The 13,522-nt window shown below is 34.6% G+C and overlaps 1 long non-coding RNA gene across 2 annotated transcripts in view; it reads left to right on the top strand.

Annotated features, from left to right (window-relative positions):
* Positions 1-13,279, top strand: part of LOC102723364 (uncharacterized) — a 62,178-nt gene extending 48,899 nt beyond the window's left edge. For both annotated transcript variants that reach the window (NR_188545.1, NR_188544.1), the window contains one exon: positions 12,558-13,279. This is a non-coding gene — a long non-coding RNA (uncharacterized LOC102723364). The remainder of the gene's footprint in view (positions 1-12,557) is intronic.
* The last annotated feature ends 243 nt before the right edge of the window (positions 13,280-13,522 follow it).

Raw genomic sequence — 13,522 nt, 5'->3', positions numbered from 1 at the left:
TGGGCGACAGAGCAAGACTCCGTTTCAAACAAACAAATAAATAAAAATAAATAAAGGAACAATGTGAAGTCAGTATAACTAAGAAAAAAATTAAAGTAATTGGTAAATACAAGTATTAAGAACTCAAATACTGTATAAGTTGTTACTAAAAATTCATTATATGATGAAAAATTTAGAGAAATCTTTTTAATCTTGTATCTTAAGCCTAATCAAACCTATAAAAATTATGTACATTGTGACTAATCACATTGTTTTCAAGTATAAACTGAGCAACACATTCATGGAAAAGACTAGGTGCTAGTAAAATGTCTTGTGGCAAGGTGATAATATATTCTTAGTGGGTATAGTTTAGAAGATCAGAAGAGAGCAATACACAATTACAAGCAACAAAAAATGTGAAAAGCTTCATGGTGGTTCTGACCAATTATTTGTGTTCTTGTAAAGTTAGGTACAATGTAAAGAGTGATCACAATCATAATTAATGTGTCCAATTTTTGTGGTTCTTTGTATTTGAGATGTTTTGTTGTTTCTTCTGATTTTCTGGTTTCTCCTCTATATTATAATATATTAGTAGAAAAAATACTGTTTTTTTATTATGAAATTTTGCTGCTGTATCATACCATCTTTAGCTACTTTACATACTGCTTTAATACATCAGTGAGGTGAGTTAGGTAGACATCTACCAAGATATTTGCTTGATAAATTGACTCCAAACATGGATGCTATCATCAGGTGGACTGTGCTTAAAACTGGATATCACCAACAGATACATATGCTCTGCCCTTAGCAAGCTGTGATGTAATTTTGGACATTGGCACTTAAGATATTCTTTCCTTAGCAAAATCTTCTCACCTGCATTTCTTGACCATTCTCAACTCTCAGCTTGACATGAGAATTCATACTTGGTAGTGAATACTTAACAGTGGCCAGTAAAAAGCTAATTTCATTTTAAATATTTTGTAATTTTTCAGTTCCATTCTCTGTCTGAGTCTTGTCATTTTCTGATTAGCAAAGAACATAAAATAAGTTATGTAGAAAACACTATATTGAGCTATAAATTTTCAGTATTATCTTGTCCTCAGACTCAAATTATTCATATTTAAATTGATGGGCAATGTTTATTATATTTATTGTCAAATTAAGATCAAACTTGCCTTCAATAATTTTAGCAAAGATTTATTAAGTGCATTCTAGTTTCCAGAAATGGTTTCTGCATTCTGGATATGTAGCAATGTACAAATAACCCTGATAGATAAAGACAAAGCTTATATTCAATAGAATATTAAAAAAAACAGACAACAAATAAACAAATGTTTGATATATCAGATGTATATGAGGGATAAACAGAAAAATAACACATGGTAATGTGGCTGTGCATTGTGTTATATAGGGCAGCGAGGAAAGATCTCTATGAGAAGATGGTTTCAGAGCAAAGATCTTGCTCTACTTAGTGATGATCATTACTCTTATTGTATTTTGAGTGGTATACTTTTCCCGGATAGTCCCCTTACATTGCTCATCAGTACTCTTTAGGTTTAAAACAAAGAGGAAGCTGTAAATAAAGATAAAATACCCAAAGAAACAAACAATCCACATGCCTGAGGGATGAATCCATCCCATCTGACCGAAGAGTTTCAAGTCAGTTACACAGGTATTGTGAAACTGAAACTCACTCTCCTGAATGGTTGGTCATAGCTCAGGTCCAATTTTTCTCATAGGTACAATTTAACCAGCAGTTGGAAATTTCAGTGAGTATGCATTTCTTTCTAAGCTGTTGACTTTATTAAGGGAGATCAGATACAGTTCTGTCATAGCAAGGCTTCAAATTACAACTCTGGATCCCTCAAGAACAATATCGCAGGCTCTCAGGTCTGTTCTGGCCCCTGTTCCCCTGTGAGCCATACAGCTTCAACTCCATTTTACTGCCACAGCTAGGAATCCCTTTAAGTGCCTGAAGATTTCCCCTTCTCCTCTCCTTTTCTCTTTTTTTACAGTTATATCTTCTCTTTGATATATATTTTAATTTCAATGCTGTATGTTTGAACTTTTAAGTATGAAACTTGGTAGGGATGGAGGCATGTTCTCGATTCTACTCAGCATCCCATCAGAAGTCTCCTTCATTAGAAGTTAAAGAGTTTGCAAAGTGTTTTCTGTGTGCTAAATCCCAACCTTAAAACAATTCATAAGAATAACGAAGTATATGTAATATATTTGAAGTACTTTAAATATTCATTTCGACCATTTAATTTATAGTGACAAATACTACCTTACTAGTTGGAAAGTACCTCAGTCGGTACCCAACATGTAAGACAACAGTCAAGTGTGTATTACTGCTGAAAACGAAAAAAAGTAATCTTAAGGATCAAAGTTTGGACAGGCCAATATTCATATTTGGCCTCCCTCCTTCCCTGCTAAATGTAAGGCTTAATTGGAGGGATATAACATACTGGCTTACTATCAAGGACATATTGGGTCATTGAAAATACACTTCAAAAGGCCAAACAAAACAAAGTCATTGTAGGACTTTCAGACAAAATCTGAAAGCCCACTGTGTAGGCTTCAGACAAAGACCTCAAGAGATTTAAGTTATGCTGCAAGTTACACAACCCTCAACTACAAACATTTATACATCATGGTTATAAAATCCTCTCCTACTAAAGATCTTATGGAGCCTGCAGAAATACCTCCTTAAAAATATAAGAAACACATTGATTTAAGAATATTTTTTCCACTGGCTAGGTAGCAAGAAAAGTTTTCCTTTGAAGGGAATAAACAGACTTTCATTTTTAAGGATAAAGAAACACTCTAAGCTCTTCTAAAATTCCCTATCACACTGACATATTAAAATGATCAGAACCAAGAATGTGCACTAAGTTCAAATGGAGAGTTATTTACTACTAAATCCAACAAATTTCACACTACAGTAGTTCCTCAGTATCTGAGGGGGATTGATTCCAGGAACCCCCAACAAAATGGAATCATATTTGAATATAACCTACAAACATCCTCCCATATATGTACTTTAAATTATCTCTAGAAACTCATGATACCGAATTTAATGTAAATGTTACATAAGTAATTGTTATACTATATTGTTTCTTATTTAAATTATTTTTATGGTTTTTAATTTTATTTTTAAAGTATTTTTAATCCACAGTTTGTTGAATCTGAGAATTCACAATCAGTGGATGCAGAGTGTCAATTGTACATGTTTGTTATATTTTCCAAGGTAAGTGGAAATCTATTTAAAATTATATCACCAATTTTATATATATTTCATCAAAGTGTGCTAAAAATACATTCTATAAATCCTTGAAATAGATCTATTTACTGTGCTGCTTTAATTCTTTTTTAACCATCTGTCACTTTTGTTTTGTGAGTTTATTTGTGTAAATATAATTATTATTTTTTAAACATAAGAAAAATTTCAGTTGAGTAGCTTATCTCTCCACCCTTACCCCTTCTAGAATTAATGTCTACATTGCAAAAGAAATATCTCCTTAAGATGTTTTGTGAAACTATGAATTAAATAAAGAAAGCTATCAGGAAATTTATCTCCACCAAAGTTAATGAGACATAAGTTTATCGTTGAGATTGTTGTGCTTATATTTCATCTTTACTTATTTAGCTAGAATTTCCAGTTTCTACATACTTACATTTCAGGTCAAACAGAACCTCAAAAATGTTTTTGGCCCAATTCACACTTTGAGAAATCCAAGCTAATTCCCAATTATAGAATCTCACTCTCCTAAACTTCTTGGCATTTAATTTCTCTAGAATAAGCAGATAAGCACAAGTTGAGTGTAAACAATTTATTATTGTACTGGGCCTCATTTTGCTTGCCAGAAGATGGAGTGGATGAGAAATGTACCCCTTTGGAATGGGCTCAGAGAATGAGGATATTCATATTCCTTTTAAAAGCTTATTTTTAAATCCCCTCTGTATTAGAGATTCTTAACAATCAAAGGGATAAAATGATCTACTCCATAAATGAAGAATCAGTACTCTTGCCATCCAGCTCAGTGCATGTTTTATGGGCTCTTAAAAGTGTCCAAGATGGCAGAGATGTGGGTTTTTAAGGGATTTCTACTCACTGGGACTGACCTGACTACTCTGATTTACAGTGTATATTTCCAGCAGTGAAAAATAAGTTAAAAAAAAAAACTTACAGTCTCGATATGGCACCATGTCTTTAAGAGACCATTCTGAAGGCAAGCTACTATCCTACGTATTAATACCTTTTATATTAAAAGTTGAAGTTAGTTTTCTTTCCTAAAATAGACCTTATTCTGGCAATGATGTACTTCATCTGCCTCTAAATGCTTTTGTCGGCACCTCTACTAATGAATTTACTAGATACCTCATATGCTCTCCTGTTCTCTTATATAATTTTGACTTCACTCAGATAGATTTTCCAATGGAAAAACTGAAGCAACACCCTTATCCCCTTTGGATTCTCTAGTACTGTCTACTTTATCATCTAAATAAAGTTAATGTATTAGTCTGTTCTCACACTGCTAAATAAAACATACCCAAGACTGGGTAATTTAAAAAGAAAAGAGGTTTAATTGACTCAAAGTTCATCATGGCTGGGGAGGCCTCAGGAAACTTACATTCATGGTGAAAGGGGAAGCAAACACATCCTTCTTCATATGGCTGAAGCAAGGAGAAGCTCCAAGCAAAAGGAGGAAAAGCCCCTTATAAAACCATCAGATCTTGTGAGAACTCACTATCACAAGAAGAGTAGGATAGGAGTAACTGCCCCATGATTCAATTACCCTCCCATGACACAGGATTATGGGAGCTACAATTCAAGATGAGATTTGGGTGGGGACACAGCCAAACCATATCAGTTAATTTTACTAAATTGTGTAATGACACAAATTTATCCATTGTGATTTGATTCAAATGACAATTAACAATGCAGTTTTTCCTATAGATAGAATGAATGGGTCCCAGAACCAATGTTTGGGGTTGGTGGTGACTTCAGGTTTATACTCAAATATATACCTCCATAATATTGTTAATTTTTCCAAGGACCTCAGATTCTACAGATTTTTAGATTTTTATTGTCCAAGACATAAACACTTTCTACTAGTGGACCCAACAATAGCTCCAATGGTTAGGGATCTAAGAGCTGGTCACTACGTGCTATGTGCAACACTAAACAATAGGGAGAAAAAGATATTTCATTGTTGGTTGGTGATATGGTTTGGCTGTGTCCCCACCCAAATCTCATCTTGAATTGTAGTTCTCATAAGTGGAGATAATTAAATCATGGGGCAGTTCTCCCATCCTGTTCTTGTCATAGTGAATTTGTCCCCATGAGATCTGATGGTTTTATAAGGGGCTTCCCCCTTCACTGGAGTCTCATTCTTCTTCTCCTTGCTGCCACCATGTCAAGAAAGACGTGTTTGCTCCCCCTTCTGCCATGCTTGTAAGTTTCCTAAGGCCTCCCAGCCGTGCTGAACTGTGAGTCAATTGAACCTCTTTCCTTTATAAATTACCCAGTCTCAGGTATGTTTTTATTAGCAGCATGAGAATGAACTAATACAGATGGAGTATTTTGTAGTAATGAAACAGTAATAAAGAACAGTAAGATAACTACCATTAGGTAGAAACCTAGAAAAGTACAGTTGGAACCCAGGTGACCGGGATGCCGTCTTTTCTGTACAATGTCCAATGTTATAGTTAGATTACAAAGATTACTTTGAAAAGGTTTGGTTCACACTCTCAGTGAAAAAGCATAAATAAACTTATAGACCTGGTTCAGAAAGTTGTTACCTCTGCCACAATCAGTGAGGTAGGGAAATCAAGAAACAGCATTTGAGATGATTATATTCAGGAACATAGGATTTTTTTTTTTTAATTATACTTTAAGTTCTAGGGTACCTGTGCACAACATGCAGGTTTGTTACATATGTATACATGTGCCATGTTTGTGTGCTGCACCCATTAACTCATCATTTACATTAGGTATGTCTCCTAATGCTTTCCCTCCCCGCTCCCCCTATCCCACAACAGGCCCCAGTATGTGATGTTCCCCTTCCTGTGTCCATGTGTTCTCATCGTTCAATTCCCTTAACTTCAATTTAGATAAACAGAAACTACTATCATTCCTGCAACTGTTGATGCAACAACAATGTCAACTGCTGAATCTGCGAGGGTAATCAATCAAGGAACACATGAACCTCCCCTTTGCATGCTGACACTAGAAAACACAGCATCTCCATGACTGACATGAACAGCATGTCAGGAGAACCAGTAGAAAGGCATTTCCAACTCAATTTTACCTTTTAAACTTCACGCAAGATTGGCATTTCACACAAGTGCTACAATTGGTGGAAATTAAATCATAACCCAAAACCTAGTTACAAGGTCATCTGAGAAGTGAATTTGGTTTGTTAGTTGGTTGTTTGAATGTTTGTTGGGTGGGTTGTTTTTTTTTTTCAGACTCTGGAGGAAGCTAACGCCCAAAAGTGGCTTAATGAATGTATTGATCTATACCATATGAAAAAAATCAATTATAGCTTGGGAACCAGTTGCAGAAAAAAGATTCATACCTTCACTTCATAATCCAAATATATTTTTAATTATGCGTGGCACTGATTTTCAACTAATCTTATTTCTACTAGTATATAAAGTGTATTTTAGGTAGATAAATTTATGTCTACAGTTTATAGACTATTACATTGCATTACAACATACCGTAAGAAAATCACCCAAGGCATCACCCAAGGTGAAGGGATTGTCAATGGATTTAGGCTGTCACCCTGTAGAAATAAGATAAGCAGAGTGCATTTATGGGTGTGTGTATACATGCAGGCACAATAAAACAATTATATAAATTGGGGAGAGTGGGAGCATTTTAAAATTTTAAAACTGTAGTGAGGAAAAGAGTTATTTCTGTGTGAGTGTATTTTTTAATTGTAAACAAACAAGGGGTGGATATAATAGATATCTGTGGTTCCAACCAGTCTCTCATATCCCTGTTTTTTAAAAAAAATTTTCTTCTTTTCCTTTGTGGAGTAATTTTCATACCCCCTGTGTTATTTATGGAACTGTACATCAGAGATCTACCACTCTGCATGCTCCTTCCCTTTTCCCTTGCAGAGTGCATGTGACCCAAGTAGACCAATCATACTCTTCCTCTCAGAAAATTGAATCTTGAGCAGAATAACATGTGGATGAAAGGCAGATGAAATTTTCAAAGGAGATTATCATTATTGTGGAAAATATTAAGAAAAGTCTATGGATTCCATGATTCCTATGCTTTACTCCATAGCTTTCTCTTTCTCTTTATTTCTGTATCAAAGTGTTCTTCTAATATATTCATTTATCCTCAGTTATTAGACTGATTCATACAATAATGAAATATCATTGATCAATTAATAATCGTTACAACCAAACATATACCCTGAGAAGTATGTTAAAAATTTCACATACTTCCTCACATTTAATATTTGCAACAATTTGTAAAATAAATATTATAATTTTACAGACTGGGAAATGAAAACTTTAGAGAATCTAAGTAACTTGAGTAAAAAATCAAACTAGACACTAGCAGAGACAGGATAGAAGCCTATGGCTCTGTGACACAAAAACTGTGCTCTTTAATAATTACACACACACACAAGGTCATGTTTAGAGCTGCCTTGCCCTTCCTTGCTATAACAAAACTGCTATAAAAATACCATTGAGTTGGCAGCTTGTAAACAAACAAGCAAATAAACTATATATATTTCATATATGTATGTTTATATATCAGTATATGTGTATATTTATATATACATTTATATATAAATACATATTTCATATATATTGTTTGTTTTCCTGTGTGTGTATATATATTGTGTACACACACACACACACACACACACACACACACACATTTCTTTCAGCTTTAAAGGTTGTGGATTCCAACATCAAGGTGCTGGCAGATTTGGTGTCTGACAAGAGCCCATTTCATGGTTCATAGATGAAACCTTCTAGCTACATCCTCACTTGGTGAATTTATAAGGGCACTAACCCCATATATATGAAAGTTCCACCTTTAGGTCACCTAATCATCTCAGGTGACCTAATCACCTCCCAAATGCCCCATCTGCTAACATCATCACAACCACATTGGCAATTAGTTTTTAGCTTATCAATTTTTGGTGGGACACAAACATTCACATAATTATATTCATATAAATATGTTTATTAGTAGTAAAAATATATTAATACTTTCATAAAACCAACACTGTATCTTTATGCCTGCTATTTTCCTACACAGGATATAGGAGATTATTAAACACTGAACCACAACTAGAATTGGGTCGTTTGATAGAGACAAAGGCAAAGCAAAAAGGACATTTTCACCTTCTACTTTCTATGAAAAGAGGCTTAGGCATCTAAAGTTTGGGCTGTTAGGAAAAGATCAGCAAGACATGTTAAATGCTTTACTCAGTGGAAACACTAGTACTCAGGAAAAGGTAAACACACATATTTACATTAAATGTATCTTATTACACACTAATATTTTCTAATGAGAATCAGAATTCTTAGCAGCAATATGTGTGCTGAGAAAAAGCTGTAAGAACAGGAAAATATTGGCTGTCAAGTGATGAAATGAGAATTCTATGCTATATATAACATGCCTTAAGGATGCTACCTATCCCAGTCTGGATAGAACTATTCTAAACAAAATCTATTTCAACAAGTAAGATTAACATCTTGTGACCTATTGTGACCATATTAAACAAGTTTTGAATATTAAACAGTTCTTTCCCAAATTGTCTGTGTATCATAATCAGATATGACTTTGTCACTCCCCAGGCCTACTGAATAGAATGCAAGAGACTGGTGTTCTGGCATTTGTATTCTGAGGAATAAAAATGGGATTCAGATGGTCAATTAGTATTGATATATGTTACATGATAGTGATGAGTGAAGAGTCAGATTTGAAGCTAGTCCTGGATGTGCTTGCTCCAAGAAAACTGTGTGGTCGTAAGTAAGTTATTAAAATTATTCAGGCTATGTTGGTAGAATTAGGTAGCGTGGGTAAATATTCACCAAAGGTATACTTTGCCTTTCTCATAATAAATTATTGAATTATAACAAGTCTGCTATAGCACTAGTATACCAAAAATGATTTTTTAGGGTTGCCATAGAGATAACGTCATCCATATTTATTTGGTTAGTATGTTTTCTTGTTTTTTGTTTTTTTTTTAAAGCATCTTATTTTCTTCAGAATTCATATGTGTGAACTTGTATTTGTGTTCATAAATTTAACAATAATACCTATTCTAAAGTATACCATCTACATAAGATCACTGAGTTTAGGGGAGAAATTATAAGACAGGTGCCAAAAGATTAATTTAGATGTGTCTCAGCCTTATGTTGCTCACTTAACAGTTACAGATAGTATTACAGAATTAGACCTTGCTTGAACTTTAGTTTTAGTTTATTTCTTTGCTACAGCAAAGTACAAATGCCAAAAGCATCATTTGGGAAGCACAGCAGGGATCAGGGAGAGTGGGCGGCTGCATTGTCTTTCTTCTCTCATACTGAAAAACTTATTTTGAAATGCTGATGGAAAATTCAGATTGTAGTTTGCCAAAAAAAAAAGAACAAACTGTATTTTCACAAAAGTCTTTCTTTGTCTCTACATTTCACAGGGAAAAATCATTTTGTTATGAAACTAATAATTAAGGCTAAATTCCCTAGCTCAATGTAGGGTAATATTATGGGTTTTTTTGTATCTGGAAAATAAAATGGCAGCTTTTATAGTATTCTGGACATAGGAACTGAGAGGCTTGTATACATTAAAATACAATAACAACTTTATAATATTTATTATAAAAGGCAATATGACCTTTTTTGGTTTTATTTGAATTAATCATTTTTATATGCTTGTGGTGTTTACCTAGATAGAACTTCAACTTATTTGCAGAACATTAAAATCTATGTAGAAAATATAACATATGTTAATTATTTTTCTGTTGAAGAAAAATAATGGGTAGACTTCTAATAATTAAATGAAAAAGCTCCCTAGAAGTTTGGTTAATTGTTTATCTATGCCCATATTTCACAACTAAAAATGCAAATTACTCACAACAGCTGTAAGTAAAATGTAGGCTTCAAATAGTCACGTGGAATTCGGGGAATTGAAGAATGCTTAGATAGTTTGTAAAACCAGCTTATTAAACAGTTAAGTTACTTCTTCAGAGGGACACAATAGATGTTGTAAAAGCTGAAGGTGGAATGTCACTTCCAGGTTTATTTCAATTCAGTGTCAGTTCCTGGATGATTTCCTTTACTCTTGGCCTATTATTAAAGAATAAAGAAGAGGAAACAGATGTTGGGAAACAAAGACTAATAAATGCAACCGAAGAAAATAATTCAGATGAAAATATACATCAAAGGCTGAATTGGCTTTCACCATATGGAGATTAGACAAAATGTCCAGACTTTCCTTCTCCTGAAAAGGAGATGCAAAAGGCTCATAGGAATCATGTCAATAACATTGTCATCACCACCAAATGGATCTCAGCTTTCTTCAATTTTTTTCAGGTCTACAATTTTAGTTCTGACTTTTCTGTTCTCTCTTCAACTCACTGCAGTTTGGCTTTAGCCTCCCATTTCACAGAAAGTTCTTCTGTTAAGTTTTTAATGATCTTGATGCCTTTAAAATGAAGGACAAATTTTATCCTTACCTTATCTGACACCTTAACTGTGGATATATGTTGCTGCTATCTTCTTCTGGAAATATTATTTCCTTTAGTATTTGCTTATGATTTGCCTCCAATATGTCTGACCTTTCTTCCATCTCCTTTGTTGACTACTCTCCTATCCCCAGGACTTTACATAATGGAGTGCATCAAAGTTCATTCATAATCTATTTTTGCTTTCCCTATACTCTCTTTAGGAGACCCAATACATTCCATGGTTTCAGTTTTATTCCCTACATAAAACATAGAAAGATGTTACATTATACCAAACCACTCTTCCGTGTATGAGAAATCTAGTATCTAACCTTCATTTGTGATATACATGTAGATGTCTCCAAGGCCCTTTGGTGTTCACTGTCCAAAAGTAAACTTATGATCCTCTTCCTTGGACACAAATTGCAAAATGACATTCAGCTGGTATATCCCTAGCATTATTCAAAAGAAACTGTATCCAACACAAATGCAATTCCTATAAGCTCCATGAAAGTTATATTTAAGAAAATAATTCTATCAAATTCCCTTTAACAAATCTCTATTCCAAGCCACTACCAATCTTATATTGGTTTCTCAAAAAGCCTTGTCTGCAAAAAAAGAAATAATCCTCTGTGTTGTAAGTATAACATATAACATTGTATAACATTGTATGTAAATATCACTTATAATTAATTAATGGGTAACTCATTATTTGTTTAACAAATCCTGAATTTATAGCAATGAAATACAGAAGATCAGGCCCCAGTCTCATGCAATTTATAGTCTAATGGGAGGGAAATTATTAGTAGTTCTGTGTGCAGCTAAGATGATGTGACATAGCAATTAAACTTTATGTAGAAAATTAATCAGACAAATGTATACAAGTTGTCATGAAACTTGGTTCTTCTCTAGCTTGAATGTGGGAACAGGTCTTTAAGGAGGCAATGTTTCTGGCATAACTAAAAGGATGAAAAGATCCAGGGAAGCAAAGACCAGAGAGAAGAACAACTGAAGCTAAGATGTAGAAGAACAACTGAAGCTAAGATGTAGAAGTTCAAGTGGCCTAGTGGAGCAGAACATAGCTGAGTGTGCATGCTCAGAAAAAAAAAATAATAATACAAGAGTGGACAGAAAGTGATAAGGAGAGAGTTTGTGTGGGGGAGGGCAGTAAACCAAATAAAGTATGGGGGATTGAAAGAAGCAATAACTCATCTAAGGTCTTTATCTGTGGAAAGTTTGTATGTTATTCTAAGTATAATGAGAAGCCATTGGAAGTGAGGAGTTTAAGAAGGTCAATGATGTGACTTGATTTACCTATTTATTTATTTATGTATTTATTTATTTTTATTATATTTTATATTCTAGGGTACATGTGCACAACGTTCAGGTTTGTTACATATGTATACATGTGCCATGATGGTGTGTTGCACCCATTAACTCGTCATTTACATTAGGTATTTCTCCTAATTCTATCCCTCCTCCCTTCCCCCCACCCCACAACAGGCCCTGGTGTGTGATGTTCCCCTTCCTGTGTCCCAAGTGTTCTCATTGTTCAATTCCCACCTGTAAGTGAGAATATGCCGTGTTTGGTTTTTTCCTTGTGATAGTTTGCTGAGAATGATGGTTTCTAGCTTCATCCATATCCCTATTTAAATGCTTATTCTAGTCAGTTAGGGAAAGAATGTGCTATAAGATGTAAAGCAGTTAAAGACCATGACCTCCACCTTATGAAGAAGCCGAGCTACAGTAAAAATTAAACCACTAGTCAGAGAAAAGAAAAATGAAAGACAGTAATTGTTCTTCATTAGTTTTAGATGAGTAACAAATTACCTCAAATCTTAAGTTAAAAAACACATTTGTTATTTGTAGTTCCTCCGCATCAAGAATCTGGCAAATTTATCTTGGACCTCTTCTTCACGGTGTCTCACAGGCTGCAAGCAAGTTGTTGGCTGGGTTTTGGCCATCTCAAATCTCAACTGGGTAAAGATTTGCTTCCAATATCACACAGTTAATGGCAGGATTCGGTTCTTCACAAGTCATTGAACTGAAGACCTCAATTATTTGCTATTGGCCACAGGCTGCCCTCGGTTTATTGCCACATGGGCTTCTCCAGCAAGGCAAAAACACACATGCTGAGAAGGCAATAGAGAGAGCCTACTAGCAAGACAGAAGTCTTTTAAAACCTAATCGTGGAAAATGACATTCCGCAACTTTTGCTATATTCTGCTTATTAGAAAAGAGGCAGGAATACCAGGAGATAGGGATCATTGGAACTGATATTAAATGACTATCAAAGTTCACCCTCTGGCCTCTAACGATTTTTTATTTCCCTACCAAATGTGAAATAACTCCTCTCAAGGTTCTCAGACGTCTCATTCCATTATAACATCAACTTGAAGTATAGAATCCTCATCGTTAAAATCAGCTCTCACTCTTTGTTCAGTGTCTCTCAACCTGTGACCTGTGACTATTCAGACCAGCCCCATGACACCTATTTATGCCATATGGAGAAAAGCACCACCTAGAAAAGCCTTCCCAAATTCCTGAACCTCAAGTGTGCAGAATTTAATAAAATGGTTGTTTTTTAAGTAGCTAGATTTTGTGGCATTTTGTGATATAGGATTAGAAAACCAGAAAAATTTCCTAGGAGTTCCTGGAACACAGAAGTGCAGGACCACAAAATATACTTCACAATAGGAAAGTGGCAAAAGTCTTGAAGCAAAATATTCTTATCTTTCATGATCAGATGTCTAGAGCATTTCCTCTGGGAAGTAGATTTTGAAGGCCTAACAGCACACTGGGCAGGTGCAATCACTGACATTGCTCGCAGAAGG

Source organism: Homo sapiens, chromosome 3 (genome assembly GCF_000001405.40).
Source record: "Homo sapiens chromosome 3, GRCh38.p14 Primary Assembly".
NCBI classification, from domain to species: Eukaryota; Metazoa; Chordata; class Mammalia; order Primates; family Hominidae; genus Homo; species Homo sapiens.
This window is presented reverse-complemented; position numbering and strand designations above follow the sequence as displayed.